Raw genomic sequence first — 17472 nt, forward strand, 5'->3', positions numbered from 1 at the left:
AATGAAAACCTAAGAAGGCATTTTACTCTGAACTTACTTTGACATTATAAATCCAGATTGTCATTGCTTTCTCTTTCTCTTATTTTTATTATTGTTTGGGGAGGGGCAGTAAGGGAGAGGAAAGGAGAAGATACTGGGAAGAGTGAACAGCACTCATCCCCAATCACACTTAATTCCAGGAAAGATCAATCACATAAATCTCTTTGCAACTTGAAGATTTCATTTGTAGGAACCAGGTGCCATGTACACCGATTAACCCATCAGGTAGAAAAGCATTTCTGAATACAGGAGAGGTCCCAGCTGCCTCAATTTTTGGGCCCAACAGCCTTAAAAAATAGCCTTCTAGAGAATCATGGACAGGAACTACGGCTGGCTACTTGTACCTCAAATTCATTTTTTTTTTCCTTCAGTGCTCTTTATTTCTTTATGTAGAGCCAAGTTTCTGGCCTATATCATTTTCCTTTACTCTGAAGAACTCCTTTTAACTTTTTTTTTTTTTTTGAGTTCCAGGATACAGGTGCAGAGTGTGGAGGTTTGTTACATAAGTAGATGTGTGCCATGGTCGTTTGTTGCACCTATCAACCCATTATCTAGGTTTTAAGCCCCATATATGTTAGCTATTTGTCCTAATGCTTTCTCTCCCCTCACCCACCAACCGCCCTCAAGTCAGTTTTCTAAGAGTATTAATCAAGAAACCATCTCATAATCACACCAAAGCATATTTCTACACAAGATATAAAATACTAGGATATTTGCTAAAGATAAATGCATGCCATACACTGTAACAATGGAAATGACTTCCTACAGGATAACAATGCTAAAATTAAACTCTTTGTAATTAGTAAAGATGAACATGTGGGTAATATATTGTATATATTTTTTAAACTATTTTTTGTCCTCAGTAAAGAGAGAGCTTAGATACCTTGTGTCATAAAATAATAAAGCAAAAATAACATTTCTATGTGAACATTTTTAAAGTTTTTAAAATTCATCCTGGGCTGGGTGTAGTGGCTTGCTCACGCCTGTAATCCCAGCACTTCCAGAGGCTGAGGTGGGTGTATCACTTGAGGTCAGGAGTTCAAGACCAGCCTGGCCAACATGGTGAAACCCCATTCCTACTAAAAACACAAACAATTAGCTGGGTGTGGTGGCACGCACCTGTAATCCCAGCTACGTGGGAGTCTGAGGCAAGAGAATAGCTTGAAACCAGGAGATGGAGGTTGCAGTGAGCCGAGATTATACCACCACACTTGCCTGGGCAACAGAGCGAGACTCAGTCTAATTAAAAAAAAAAAAAATCATTCTGAAGTACAGTCATGCACTGATTAACAATGGGGATGCATTCTGAGAGATGCATTGTTACATGATTTCGTCACGCAAACATCAAAAGCGGGTACTTAAACCTAGTACTACACACCTAGAATATATGGTATAGTCTACGGCTCCTAGGCTATAAACATGTACAGCATGTACTGTACTGAATACTGTAGGCAACTATAGCACAATGACAAGTATTTACATCTCTGACCATAGAAAAACACTTCAGGAGGTCAAGGCAGGCAGGTCACTTAAGCCCAGGAGTTTGAGACCAGCCTGGGCAACATGGTGAAACCTCATCTCTACAAAAAATACAAAATCGGTTGGATGCAGTGGCCCATGCCTATAGTCCCTGCTATTGGGAGGCTAAAGTGAGAGGACTGTTTGAACCCAAGAGGTCGAGGCTCCAATGAGCCATGACCGTGCCACTGCACTCCAGCCTGGGTAACAGAGCGAGACTTTGTTTCAAAAAAAAAAAAAAAAAAAAGAAAGAAAGAAAAAGAAAAGGACACAATAAAAATATGATTTATAATCTTATGGGACTACCATTGTACATGCAGTCCATCATTGTCTGAAACATTATATGTAGCACATGACTGTATATGCATAAGATTTAAATTGTCCAAAACAATACACTGCAAAGCTCTCTGCTCTTGGTTCTTTAGGGATCCCAAAGATAAGAAATCCTAGAACAAGAAATGGAGTAACAAATGAGGAGACAAAAAACAGTATCTTCAGGACTCTATTAGCAGAGCATGATATTCAGAACGATGAGGAAGCGGGGGGGAAGTGAAGACTGTTGCTTGACTTTACTAATACTGTCTCCCACATTCTTCTTATCAAAAAGAATTATTTGGGTGCCACATATCTCTCTCTCTCTCTCTCTCTCACACACACACACACACACACACACACACACACACACACACGAGACTATGTGCCATTCTGTATTAAATAGAGTCAGCTGGGACCTCAGGTAAAGGCTCTATCTGAACATATAGAGACCTTTCTAAAACAATCATATTCCTTCTGTTAAGAATGCCAGCAATATTGAACCAAGCAGGCAAACATAGTTATGCCAGCTCAGAGAGACAAATTCCTGAATGATAATCAGGAGAATTGACTCACAGGCTGGACATCTTGTGTGCAGATGTCTTTTGGCAAAGCATTCGCTGGCTCCCATCCAGAAACAGCCTTAATATATTCAGTACAAGAGTTGATTTTTAAGATACATTAAATAGTACTTCTGGAGAGAAGTTATAAAATGCACATTTATTTGGCTATGTGTTATAGATAGATAGCAATTTCTTAGTTTCAGGATGAAGCAAATATATTTTCACAAAAGAGACTATAGAAATTGGGTGTGGTTAAAGCATAAACTTTTTCATTGATGTCTAAAAATTAAGATACTAATAAGAAAAGATGCTGTATCTATGACTGCTTTCACTGAAGAAGTTTTCTTTAGAATTCATCTTATCTGTGTTTTGGTAGGCTCCTAACCTCATGTTTAATACATTCATTGCCACACAGCTGAGTGACTAATGGGAAACATGCATGCCTCCAGTTTCAAATTTAAACGTATGGATGGTACAAGACAAGAGGCTTCCACACGTGGTACTCAGTTTAATTTAGCGATTCCATAAACATCTTCTTCCAATTTAAAAAATATGGTAATACAAAGCAATTTTGTTTGCTCTAATTCTGGTGCCAGATTAGGTAATTAGAATGGTGTCTAATATCCTTCCAGTAAATGTTTCTCCATAAATGCAAAATGGAATAGAGGGTCTGCGGGTTACATTAGCTTAATGAAAACAAGACTTTAATGCATATTGTTACAGCAGTGTTTGAATGCACTTATTAAGGCCCGAGTTCCCACAACCATATGGTTTTTGTCATTAATGTCTCCTTTGAGGAAAAGCACTAAAATTAGAAAAAAAAGTTATATCTTTGATTCCAATGATCCCAACTAAATGATATGGTAACCATATGGTGTGCAGCAGTGATAGAAGAATCTGGAAGTGTCCTTGTAAGCTTTTTAAATTTTTTTTGGCTGCCAACTTGACCCTGAAAGGAGCCTATTTTTTCTTTCTTCTTCTTCTTTTTTTTTTTTTCTTTTTTAGCACAGAAACCAGTGGTATTTGCACAGGAAATGGCATTCATATGATGAAATCTTTACAGAAAACAACGCTTTCTGAGAAAGGCAAAGATTCTAGTCTCAACAAACTTGTTCAAATTGTTCAACAAACAATTTGCTTTTAAATAAGAATATAGTATTATAGTATAAGCCATTTTGGGAGAAAACACTAACACATTATACCTTTAACCTTAAATGTACAACTTAGAAAAGAACGAAAAGAATATAATTGTAATCTGGGTTTCCACACAAACAGATCTAATTTCTGGTTTGTAGGTACTCACAAAGCAGAATATTTCATTTCACCTTAATAATAACAACAGGAAAGACTAATATCCAGAAAGTTCAGAATTGGGGCTCATTTCAGACAAACCTTTCTAGGCTTCTGGATACTTACTTGAACCTTATGTGTCTGATACAGTTTTAAAAATAGATGAAATTTCACACAGGATCTGATCAGTTATATTTCTGGTGTCTCCCAAACAAAGTTCTAGGAACCAGACAGAAAGGTAAATCCTCCTTGGCAAATAATTAAATCAGAGGCTTCCTTGAGTGCTCATTTTGAAAGTGACCTTCAAAGGGGAGTGCAAATGAAACTTTCACATTTATCAATCTGCTAAGCCCACTGTTAGTATAAACTTATTGAGAATCCACTATGCCCAAGCAATATGCTTACCCAAGTAAAAGGGATCTTAGTAATCTGCTTTTCTACCAAAACTACCAGTTATTTTAGTATCCATCAGTGAATTAACTACCCGCTATGCTGAATAAAAATGTTCCTTCTTTCTCTTGTGAACTTTGTGTTTGTTTGTTTTCCAGTTGCTTTACTGAAGCGGCAGCAGTTGGAGGAGACAGAAAGCTCACAGCAGAGACTTAAAAACCATTTCGAATCCCACACCTCAATCAGTCCTCAGCCAGGCACACCTTGGACATGTCACTTACTCCCAACTTCTTCACTGGCACAAAAGGATGACGGTCTGATCTTCCCGTTAAGTTGTTACAAAGATAAAATTAGGAGGATAAAAAAATCCTGAACAACTACAAAGCTCAACCAATCTTCTGTTCACTCTAAAGACAAGCAAAATGTAAAATAACATATCTCATATGACCAAAAAAATGAACAAAACCTTTATTCAAAGAGACTTCTAAACTCTTCTTCAAACTTTACTTCTTTTCAGGTAATTATTTAAAACACTCCTTGTAATTTTCAGACTACTTAGGAAATGGTCATAAATACAATCGATTCAGATAGTTTTCATCCATTAAATTAAATCAAAGAGCCCCTAAATGTACTAAAAAAGCACACAGTTATGACCTAGCAACAATATGGTTTAAAATACTTTACAGACCAGTGAACTGTGCAATACCTTCAAAAATGGGATGACAAAAGGTCTCAGTGGGAAGTTAGTAGCTTCTTGCAGTTTGGAATGAAATTCTTCAATTGTCAAAGTGGAGTTCTATGGAAGAAAATATGTAGTATAAATACATTAGCCTGTTGGTAAATAGTAAAAACACAAACAAATTAATTATTAAGACTGGTACAACACAGTGTAATAACAAGCAAACATACTGACAGAAACCAGTATTTTCAATAAAACCTATTGACTTTGTAAAAATGATCACACAGTTTATTGCATCACTCACTTCTAAAACCTACATCTGAAAATGAAACACATTATGTATAGTACTTTGAGGATAATGTGCATGATCACTAGCATGGTTTAATTATCAGAGAAGTCTTTGCAATTATGAAGAATCTTCTAATATTGCCTTTATGGAAAACAAACACACTTGGATGTATTTAAAAGCATAACAGATCACTTAAAGGACCGAGGGCAAGTGTCAGAATTCTCAGTCAAGATTTATCCCACGTGTCACATCAGCACTACTGCTGGTGGAAATATTCTTCTCCTCCTCCTGTATTTCCATCTTGTATTCTTTCTTTGTCTGCCAAAGCATCTTTGCTCAGGGTGAACATCAAAGTTGGGTAGTGTGCTATGCCAATAAAGCCAAAGAAAAGGTTTGACCCTTCTGTGAGTCAATGAGTTTTGTAGAAGGTGAAAGAAAAATCCCAATTATCGAAGACATTCCACTTATCCTAGAGGCAACTGCTTGACCCAAACAAGACTAAGCAAAATTAACTCAGATTCACTTCTAACCTACCTTATATAAAAAAACAAGCCCCAAATACTCAGGATTTGTATCCTACAATAGATAATGTGTGTTGGTAAAAGCATCTACTTAATGAACAACAAAGCAATTATAAAGGCATTGAGTAAATTAACCCTCATTTCATTCGTTTTCTTTAGTTTCTCAGGCAGGATCACAACTCATTCTCAACTTCTTCAGTCCCTTCAATAATTCTGATGACTGACAAAATTTGGGAATTTGTGACCTAACGTCATTACAATATTGCTCCACCCACTTTTTTGTGCATGTTTCCTTTTATAACAAAGTACACGAGCACCAAGTTCTAAGTTCTTCATACCCCCACACTCAAAACATCTTCATATGAAACTATGAATAAACAATAACTTCCTATGTGTAACAATAAATGTCAAGGAGCCAATTTTTTAAAATCTATCATTTTGTTTCTATGACTCCTTTTCAAAAGGACAGTACTTCCGGTCCAGTGCAGTGGCTCACGCCTGTAATCCCAGTAGCTTTGGGAGGCCAAGGTGGGAGTGTCACTTGAGCCCAGGAGTTTGAGACCAGCCAGAGCATCAAAGTGAGATGATGTCACAAAAAAATTAGCCAGGTGTGGTGGTGTGTGCCTCTAGTTTCAGGGGAGGCTGGGAAGGGAGGATTGCTTATGCTTGGAAGGTCAAGGCTGCGGTGAGCCTTGCTGGCACCGATGCGAATGCATTGGGTGACAGAGAACGGGTATGGGTGACAGAGAAAGACCCTGTCTCAAAAAAATTACTAAAAAAAAATGTTTAAAAGAAAAAACAAAAAAGACAGTACTTCCTAACATTTTCTTAACTCCACCTAAGCATCAGCATGATTTAGTACCTAGGTTCAAATCTGTCACTACCAGTTGGGTGGCCTTGCATATTTTACTTAACCTCTATAACCTCAGTTTGCCCATGTGTCAAATGTGTATAAAAATCACTCCCTCAAAAAAAAAAAAAATCACTCTCTCAAATGGTAGTCCTGAGAATTATGTAAAATGGCTTGTAAGCCAAATGTTTAACAGAAGTCTGCTACTCAATGAATATTTACTGCCTATTATATGCAAGTTATAATGAATTAATGTCCTCCCCTATTTTCCTCTCTAGGCTTTTAGATTTTAAAAAATATATTTTTTAAAAGTATTTCACGCAAAAGTATGCCACTTGGGAAAAATCTACTTAAAGCTACCAAGTTTTTCTGCATTTTCAATTATGGAACCACTGTTAATAAAGAACATGTCAAATTTATAAGGCAATTTTCAAAAAAAAAAAATTTTGCTAAGAACAACACATTCACCATTTACTTGATACAATTATTACTTTGGATTTACTTTGTGGTTCCTTGGTCTAACTTATTTACATGTTAAAAAAGCTTATTATGCAAATTCAAGAATGAATAAAAAGGAAAAGATAAGTGACTGACAAAAGTATCTGAAGTATGCCAACACACCTTTTGTGAAAATCACCTTCCTGTCTTGGAAGTTTATGAGGTGGAGCTGATGGACTGTGAGAAACATGGAAGTCTTTTGTTCTTGGAGTAGGGAGGAGAGGCAGTTAATGGTTAAAAATTAAATTGCAAAATCTCTGTCAAATGTGGGATATAGTGATTTGAAGCATGTCTTCTGAGCTAGTCTCTTACCCAGACTTCTAATTCTGAAACTTCTTTTGCAAAACACAACTGGTATGGCTTTGCCCCTGATAGGTCCATATAATAAAAATAAATAATCTATTTCAAGAAAGTGGAGACGACCATAACCCTGGACAATGAAAGAACTGCATATACGATTCATAGCTTCTCCGTGACTCAGTTTGATATGGGAGACTAGCCTTCCTAAATACTCGAAAATCCTCCACTTCTACAGAAAATCACAACACATGGAAAAGTGACTTAGAACGCAAAAAAAGATATATGTTCTATTTTCTAGTGTGACAATGTGCAGAACGTAGTGTAATATGCAAAAACCAACAGTTCTCTTCTCAAACTAGTGGTTTCGGTAATTCTACCTATAACAAAGATTTATTTTTTTTAACAAAAAAGAATTAGCGTTTACCAGGAGCTGGGGATAAAAGAGATGAGGAGTTACTGTTTTATGAATACAGAAGGTTTCGGATTGAGGTGATGAAAAAGTTCTGGAGATGGACAGTGGTGGTGGCTATACAGCAATGTGAATATACATAATGCCACCAAACTGTACACTTAAAAATGGTTAAAATGATGAACTGTATGTATATTTTACCACAATAAAAAATTTCAATGTTATTCATCTTAAAAATGACACTAGATAAAAGAAGAATGTGTTGTTACAAATTCTTGTTCATCTGGGCCAATGATAAAAATCCACTAAAGCAATGAAATTAAAATGAGCATCCAATTAGATTGAGTGACTCAACATAACAAAACCATTTTGTCATCATTGAAAACCACTAGGCATGCCAGGAAAGTGTACTTACTGAAATACTGAAATACACGTGCACATACACACACACACACACACACATTTATATATATAACATGTTTATGGCCAATATAACAATAAATTTGTATAACCATATCTTTATTAGTCAAACAGTGAGAAAAAAAACTCTGGTGGGGTCAATATATAATGCAGAATTTAAAAGACTGTCACTATAGCATGAATCAGACTTGCACACAATCTTCAGATGTAGAAACTATTATAACAAAATACTTGCGAGAACGGTGTCTACATGTCTGAGTCTCCCACCCACACTATCCCTTACACCAAGAAAACTGGGTTGGTTTCCATTTGCTTACCACTAGTCCCAGAACGAGGGTGCGAACTCTTTCTCCTATCTCGGGTGAAATGTCATTGCCAAACTGCTGCAGGGTAGTAAGGAACCTTTTCAGCTTGCTGAGTTGCCTGGCACCACAGGCTGGGGGCAGCTGTTGATTAGCCAGAGAGGAGGAGGAAGAAGAGGAAGGCCCATTGCTGAAGCCATTGGGTGGTGAGGGGGCGCCATTCAAGGCTGTAGGAGAATGGCTCGTGCCATTAGTTACTGTCAAGAGCACAAAATCAGAAGGAAGTCATAAACTTACAGAGAACATGCATGAGGAAATTGCCACCAAGTTTCCTACCTTTTACATCTACTAGTTTTATAAGTTTTTAAATGTTGGGACTTTTTAAAAATGCTTGGACTTCACAGGGTTACTACATTCTCAGGTACTCTATAACTAAATGGGTCTACTCCTCATACTGAGTGATGGTATCCTGCACAGAGGCTGACAATAAATGGAGTCTGCTGCAACCCAGGGCCAGCCCTGCCTCCCATGTGCACATATGCCAACCACCTGAAATGTTTCAAAAATAGAACAGACAGCTTCGGATGTCAGCTTTTTGTCGCAGGCTTACATCAATATAACAGGACTATTCCTTTCCAAACTGCTCCCCTAGAGAAAGTGTACATTTGGTGGAGACTAAATTTATCATTGAACATTTTTAATCATGTTTTGTACACACAACTGACAGCTGTGTTTATAGGAATAGGACTTTCAAGTTTTAACCTTCCACCACCCAATTAGAAGGCTATTTTCTCCCCCTCATACTTCTTAACCACTTCTTTAGGAAAAATGCATATTTTATGTACAAAGCCAAAATGGATATGGTGTTTAACAAGGAGTTACTTCAAGAAATCAAAAAGGGACACCTAAATCCAGCCAAGAGCATGGAGTGGTGATAATTCAGTAAATTCATTTCTGATAAAATTTGTTTGAACATCAAGACGATAATCCCTGTCACTCTGTAACCCATTAATATGTACATTAATAAGTACATAAAAAGAAAGCAAAAAGTTGATAATCCATAAGAACTAGAATTAAAAATCTGCATCGTTTGCATTAAAGAAAATGTTGATTTTATCATGTTAAGTCAATTAATTTGATAAGCAGACCTTTATCAAACCCATCTTTTTAATATAATTTTGATATAGTTTGAAAATGTTTTAAAGACCATGTTATGCTTAAAAGTTCAATTTTGACATAATAAAATGGTTCTCTTGTCACAACTGAGTATCATAATAACCTGTCAAGAAATGCCAGCTCACCAGGACATCTCACAGGAGACATATGCTTACCCCTGTGGCTTTGGGTAACAACAAACCAAATATAAGATGACACGGTTACAACTTGGCATTGCACAGTCACCTGCTCCTTACACATTTGGAAAGGTCTTTTAAATGGCAGTGCAACACTGCATAAACAGCCTGAGATGCGTACTTTGCTAATCCCTTATAGTCCCAAAGATCTACTTTTGCCTTTTAGTTATTTTTCATTCATATGGATTTCATGGCACATGGTGTGCAAAATAGCTGCAACCGATAACATTTATTAGTTTCACAATTCCTTGATGACAATTTCAACCAGGACTTTGAGATTTATTAAAACAGTTACTCACTATCCCTAATGAAATACACAGGAAAGAATGGGAAGTTGCAATTCTGTCAGAATTCTCTATCCTTTCCTTTGGACTGTACTGAAAGCAATACACTCTATTGAGAGAACTCAGAACTTGAGCCAAGCAGGAATGGAGTAAAGTTTTAATAAGAGTCTGACAGGTTCAAGACAAGAAAGACACGACCGGGTGCGGTGGCTCACGCCTGTAATCCCAGCACTTTGGGAGGCCGAGGTGGGAGCATCACGAGGTCGGAAGTTCAAGACCAGCCTGACCAACATGGTGAAACCCCGTATCTACTAAAAATATGAAAATTAGCTGGGCTCAGTGGCGCATGACTGTAATCCCAGCTACTCAGGAGGCTGAGGCAGGAGAATCGCTTGAACTTGGGAGGCAGAGGTTGCAGTGAGCTGAGATCGTGCCACTGCACTCCAGCCTGGGTGACAGAGCGAGATTCTGTCCTCCCCCTCCACCCAAAAAAAAGGGCAAGAAAGGCACTTCTCACTTCAGAAAGTTTTCTGTATGATATTGTTGCATATCAATACCCTTTTTAACACAAGGATATTATATTTTAACATTATTTGTAACCACTTGAAATAGATGAAAATGGTGTTAGAAGAAGTAACCTAGAAATAATAATAGCACATTTCCATGTTCCAAGTCATGCTGAACAAACTAAAATAAAGAGCTCCACATTAAGATGAATTAGAAGTTACAGTGGTAACAACTGGAATTACAGACCAAATGCTGCTTCATTTGCTAAAATCATAGCAGACTGCAACTTCGAAGCAATAATGAAAAGGAAGGCAAATATTGGCAGTCACACAAATTAGACCTAAGCTATGATACTTCTGTGCTCAGTACCTACTTACTGGCAAACAAATGATTTTTTTTGGTTCATTTCTGCATAATACATTGATGCTGAATTTTATTTTCCCTTGATTTTTCATTTGCAGAAAAAAATTTAATTTAAACTTTAAAACTGAAACTCAAAAGCCTGAAATGACTACTTACACGTTGTCGGTGTAAATGAACTGGTTCTTGGAGCTCCTTGAGTAGTTGGGGGAGGTGGCATTGTTGGAGGAGTCAGCCTAGATTGCGTCTTCACATCCACAGGTGAGTCTGGCATTGTGGAGTGCTTCTCAGTACGATCTGGAGGATGCCACCAGGAACATATTATTTTACTCCTTAAGCACCTCAGTTTTTCAAGTGGGGTTTATCTTTTTTAAAAGCAAGTGAACAGAAGAAATTCAACATCTTCTATCAATAAAATACACTTATCTACTGACGTTTAAATCAGGATTTTATCATCCAAACCCCACTTAAGAAGGTATAGCACAGATGGCAGGACCTCATTTGTAACTAGGTTATATTATATCCTATTGTTATTTCTGGCTTAGGCAGATGCTACCTTGGTAGTGTTATATGCAGCAGCACAACTGCACTGGAAGCTGAAGCCAATGTTAGCAAGAGGTAGAAAATAGATGAGGAAGTGGGATGATAATGAACCCCTCATGACAGCTCAGAAATAACAAAAACCTGAAGTCTGTTATGCAGGTGAGATACTGGTAGGAGCCAGCTCTTTGTAATGATTTTCTCTTACACCTGCCATCCCTGTGCTGTCCTTAGTTTTCTGGCCTATTAGATGAAATAGGTTATCGTCTTCCAGGCATATTTCGCATTTCAATTTTTCCTGCCCTGTTTTAAAAATCACTGCTACATAGGTGAAATGTGTTATACAATGAAGTGAAACTATTATTTACTTAAAAGGTGTAAATTTATGACCTGCCATTTTAAAAGCATGAAACCAATACTCCAATTAATAATCTCAAACAGAGTTAAGAATGTAAAAGTCCCAAACAGAGAACTAAAAAGAACTAGACACTGCTAATATTTTTTTCATGAGTATGTGGCAGATATGAAGAAATTTCCTGATTACCCAATAATGGACATTCATACTTCAGAACTGCTGTAAGTATACTTTTCCCTTGACATTCTGAACTGTTTTTCTCAATCTAATCTACTTATCAAAGCAACAGACCTTTTGATCTGTTCAAAGCAATTTCTTAACACTTTGGTTATAATAAACATTTAAAAGTTGAAATAATTTTGGTATCATTTTAAGGAAGCTGCAATAAAAGAATAAAAATAATCATCATTCAAATAAGAGCATTTGCACGATGAGCTAGTCAACAGCAGTATCAGAGTCTCTATTTTTGGTTCTTTAGATCTAATTCTTTCACAAATGTGTAGGCACGCACATGAACACACACACACCCAACGTATTTTGAGGCACCTCTTGCAGTTATAGACACAAATATCTCACACTTGGGCTTTTAGAAAAGTGAAGTAACTATTAAGAAAGAACAAGCCTTTAAAAATGTTATAATAACCACAGTGAGAAAATCTCAAAATCACTTAAAGGTCAATTATTGAAAGAAAAAGAAAAACCCAAATTACTACTATAACAATTCCAAATCTACCTCACTTTTGTTCAAAGCAATTGCTTAACACTTGGGTTGCAATAAAACACAACATTTAAAAGTTGAAATAATGTTGATATCACTTTAGGGAAGATGCAATAAGAGAATGAAAATAATCATCATTCTAATAAGAGTATTTGCACAATAAGCTGTTATTATTATTATTGATGAGTTAACAGCAATATCAGGGTCTCCATTTCTGAATCTATACTTCTGGCTGAATAACAACGGATGTCCCTATAGTGAATAAAAGTGTTCTGAGTGAAAGGATGGTAGAGACACACATGAAGAGCATTTTCACCTTTATCTATTGTTAAAAACTTGTCTTCAGATTGCTACAACCAGTAAGTCACTTATTCTAGAAAAATACAGAAGTTAGGCAGGCTTAAAACCGCTTCTTCAACAGTTAAATTCATTTGCACATTCTACTCACCTCAACCAACCTCAGCAACAAGGGAATAAATAGCTTCCCACTTATGTTGCAGCTGAGGGAAGAGGTACAGCAGCAAATACAAGTCTCCCTAAATAAAGGCAAATATTTCTGTCATGCCAAGGAGGGAGGGAAAAAGGGAGGCTTGCCAGAGTCGGCTGGGAGATAACAGTGGGAACTGCTGGTCCATCTGGTTTTCATTCTGCTAACACTCACACGGAACTGTTAGAGAAGGCAGTCCAGATACACAGATTTGAAGCACGTGGTTGCACAGACAGAGAAAGGAAGAGCAGGAGGGGGAGGGGAAGTGGGAGTAACAAAAAAATAAATAAAGCAATAGGAGGAAAAAGAAGAGGAGGAAAAAGAACAAAATAGAGAGACAAGAGCCTGATGGGGGAGTAAGTTACCCTCAACAGCTTCCTTTACCCTCAGTGTCTACAAGCTGGACCTTAATGTGCACAGCCCCCTACCTGACTCAAGTTTATAGAGTTAAGGAGCAATATCTAAACTTAAACATATTTGAAGGCTATTTTTCTTTCCTAAAATAGACCACCCTAAAAAAAATAAACTATAAATTTGACAATAAGTTTCCTCCTCAATTTTAAGTTTGTATTTAAGATAATCTTTGTATTCCTATCTTCTTCCCAATTTTAGAAAGTTTTTGGTATATTCATAATTTTGATTTGAAAACATCTGAATATTGTCTTGGTCCACACTTGTAACGACTCCTATCCAGAACAGCAACATCATCATCCATAGATTATTTTTTTAATTCTTGAAATGTCAACAATAACTACAGAGACAATGTATAGGAAACACCACTACTTCTAATAGGAATATGAACATTCTAGCCAGAATATATGTATATGTGCATATATTCAGGGTTTTTACATTAGCCAAATTTCTGCAATGGTTAGCTTCACTCTGATCAAATGGAGTTCCAGCCCAGAGGTCCTACAAACTGAGACAAAGTGGGACCATATGTAACTCATTCTGTGCTGTTCAGTGCAATCAATCCAGGATGGAGATAGATGGTGAAATAACCAGCCAGGCCTAATCCACATACACATGAACACTCTCTGGAGCACAGAGATTTAAGATAAATGCGGAAAATGTGTTTCAAGTATGCTGAGCCCTGTTGCATTTGTTTTGGATTATTTAAAAACTTTTTTTGAAATATATATTCTTGAAACTTTTATAGCAAACAGCACAAGCAAGCTGATTTAACCACAGAAGCATTTCACTCCATTTCAAATTAGAGGACATGGTAAAACCAATATTAAGTTATAATATTTCTTATATAATTTTTTAAGTTCATGGAAATTATAGTGTCCTGGTATGTAATTTCCATTTTTTAGTTGCAATAGGGGAGTTCTGACATATACTCAAAGACTGACACAAAATGATTAAAAGTCAAAAGAAAAAAGCAAAAGAAAAAACCTCCATCAGATCATGTAGCAAAGGTAAGTAAAATAAAAAAGGGCTGACTTTACTTCTACCTTAGCGATTCATACTACTTCTAAACAAGACGATCTTCCCTCTGTGTAACGTTTCTCTCACATGGCAAATATCCAACACATATGTACCAAAGATGGTTGATGCATGGAAAACAAATGTGGCATATATTAATACATTACCTATATGATTTCAATATCCAGTTCAGTGTCAGGGCCTTCTAGAAGTGGTATGTTTCCCATTTCCTTTTTTTTTTTTTTTTTCAATAAAAAGAAAAGGTATGGCATAATCTGCCATGGCACTTACTTTACTTTTAGTTAGTTCAAATAGCACCAGATGTGTTTCTAAGGTACAAAAAGTAGGTATTCTGCATTTTCCTTGTTTACATAGCATTCTAGAGAGGACCAGTATAAAACAACAACAACAACAACAAAAAGGGAGTTCAAGTATTGGTAGGTGGTACATCTTTTTCTATCAGTTTATCAGGTCAATTATCGAAGTCTCAGAGATGTTATGGATTAGGAGGAACTTCTTGGACAACTAGTAGTTAGTCTGAGTTAGTCATATTTGAATAAGTGTTGGCTAAGCTAGAAGGTATGTACTAGAGAGGATAAGCCAAAGTGAAATGCAAGTCCTGTAACAGGAAACAGGAAAGAAGAAGGAAGCTAGAGAGGCATCAAGGTGGGTATAGAACTTTAATTTTTATTTCACTGGAAAAGATGGCAAATACAGTTCTGAAAATGATGCTATGTAGTGACTCCAATGTCTGGGTGTCAGATGTTACAGGAGACTATCCATGGACCAGAACAATGGTGCTGGTCGCTTCTGCCCTCCATCCAGCCTCCACCCTTCCCTGATGAGCACTGTGGTAATGCCCATTCCTGCTCAGAACCCTTCTGCAATGCCCGAGAATGAAAGTCAAACACTAAGATGCTAAGAATCATGAAATGACACAGTGGGATACTTGGCATAACAGAATAACTTCCTAAGGCAGACTGGCTTCAAATGTTGACTCTCTCCACCATTAGTAGTGAGTTCTCAAGCAAGTTAGTTTTCCCGAGCCTCAGTCCCTCATCAGAAAAAAATGCAAAAATGATCCTCTGTCCCTCATAGGAATGTGGTGAAATTGAATGAGATTGCACGTTTTAAACCCTAGCACTGTGCCTACTTATATTAGGTACCAGCAGGTGTGAGCTTCATTCTCTTGTGTCTTCAACTCCATGATCCATTCCTGACTTTTCTCTCAATCCTAGGCTCTATCAAATACCAGCCACCTTGGTACTCCCTGGCTTTTCTGCCTTTCTTTTACTTGCTGTTTCCCTCATCTAGAATGACCCGTCCCACTTGCACATTCTTCACTGCTCACTGTAGATCACACATCCTCTTTCAGCTTCCCTCAACTGCCCCGAGCAACAGCCATATCACATTACCTCTGCCTTTCTTTTAACATTTATCACAGCCCTTCTGTATGATGGACACATGTATATATTATACACCCAAACATTCCAACCAATGCAAATGGTAAGCACTTGATGGCGATATTTTTTAAAATTCCTCCTGAGGAGGATTCTTAATAAATATGTAGTAATATAATTGTGGATAGTTACATTTCTAACTATTAGAAATCCATTCCCTATATTATTATCCGTTCAAAGATATCAAATTTCATGGTAAAAGACAAACACACACCATCAACAGTATACACAGAGAGAGGATAGAATGTAGATAACAATGGGAAGATGCTGGAGACCTGAAATTTAGTTCAACTTTGCAACTAACTTATATAGAATGACGTCTCACCTCATGTCTTATCACAGGTGCCGTGATCTGAATGTTTCCCAAAATTCATGTGTTGAAACTTAATCACCAATGTGATAATATTAAGAACTGGGGCCTTTGGGAGGCACTCAGCCCATAAGGGCTCTACCATCATGGATGGGATCGGTCTCTTACAAATGGGTTGGAGAGAGCTAAGGAGGCCACTTTTGCCCTTCCATCTCTTCTGCCATGTAAAAAGGCACTATTCTAGCAACAAGCTGCCATCTTGAGAGCAGAGACCAGGCCCTTACCCAACCTGTCAGTACCTTGATTTTGCATTTCCCAGCCTCCAGAAGTATGAGAAATAAATTTATCTTGTTTAAACTACCCAGTCTAAGGTACTGATATAGCAGCACAAATGGACTAAGACCATAGATGTTTTATGAATAGCATTTTTGCTGAAACACAAATAGGATCTTACCTATTCTCTGATCTAAAACCTTCAGGAGAGTCCCATTGTCCATGGAATAAAATATAAGCTCTTTAGCTTAGTCCATGTTGCAGACACTGTTGAGTTCTTAGCAATGCTTGTTGCTTTCTTCCTTGCTGGAGAGCCCTGACTTTGTTCAGGTACTCTTCCTCTTCCCACAATCTTTGGGGGCAAATTCTCCTTGTTGCACATTAGTCAGATTATCACAGTTTCTTTCTCAATAGCAGGCTTCAGAGGTGGGTGATGTGATTCGATTCTGGACAATGGGCCATGAAAGGAGGTCTACTGAAGAGGTTGTGAGAAAGACATCCTCACTTTCTAAACAGGGACCCAGGGAGCAAATAGTCCCTTCTCTTCTAATAGGCACTATTTTATCTGTAAGTAATTACTTCCCTTCACTTTTTTGAATTCTACTTTTCTTATCTATGAATTAAGCATATTAGGTTGTATTCTTTCTAAAGATCTTTTGCAAATACTAATATTCTCTGGTTTCTTTCTATAGATATGGCTTATGATCATTACAAACACAAAGATGACCACCCTGAAAACATATATTTGATAATGAAGTGACCACAAATACAATCACTTTGAAAGTGATGATCATAACTAGCCTTCTTCTGTTCACATAAATTTCCATGTCCACAAGAATGTCTGCATGTCCATTTTTCTCCCATAAACATTAAAATTAATGTCTACCTCCTCTTTTCAGATACATTTTCACTCCTCATCAATGATTTAGTTATAAAATAAGCATTCTAAAGTCCAATTCTCCCTCTTTAGTTGTCACCAAAACAATCACTAGGATTTTCTTTCATAGCCCAGGCTCTT

General features: G+C 37.1%; 1 protein-coding gene across 24 annotated transcripts in view, besides 1 other annotated feature; it reads right to left on the reverse strand.

The window, feature by feature from the left end:
• RUNX1T1 (RUNX1 partner transcriptional co-repressor 1) overlaps nucleotides 1-17472 on the reverse strand; it is a 148419-nt gene that overhangs the window by 51217 nt on the left and 79730 nt on the right. For 22 of the 24 annotated variants that reach the window (XR_007060758.1, XM_047422373.1, XM_024447318.2 and 19 more), the window contains 3 exons: nucleotides 11043-11180; nucleotides 8396-8637; nucleotides 4819-4908 (listed from right to left, as the gene is read on the reverse strand). Coding sequence is in view for 23 of the 24 variants with exons in the window: in XM_047422373.1 (XP_047278329.1) it covers nucleotides 4819-4908; nucleotides 8396-8637; nucleotides 11043-11180 (470 nt within the window). In the remaining variant the exon portion in view is untranslated. Of the gene's footprint in view, nucleotides 1-4818; nucleotides 4909-8395; nucleotides 8638-11042; nucleotides 11498-17472 lie in introns of those variants that run through there. The other 2 variants (XM_017013936.2, NM_175636.2) reach the window with 2 other exon arrangements.
• Nucleotides 11957-14934: an enhancer, noted in NCBI's record as "VISTA enhancer hs1658". NCBI's record gives its function as "enhancer in: somite[6/10] | branchial arch[6/10] | heart[9/10]" and the evidence as "EXISTENCE:transgenic organism evidence [ECO:0001131][PMID:17130149]".

Source organism: Homo sapiens, chromosome 8, assembly GCF_000001405.40.
Source record: "Homo sapiens chromosome 8, GRCh38.p14 Primary Assembly".
In the NCBI taxonomy this organism is placed as follows: Eukaryota; Metazoa; Chordata; class Mammalia; order Primates; family Hominidae; genus Homo; species Homo sapiens.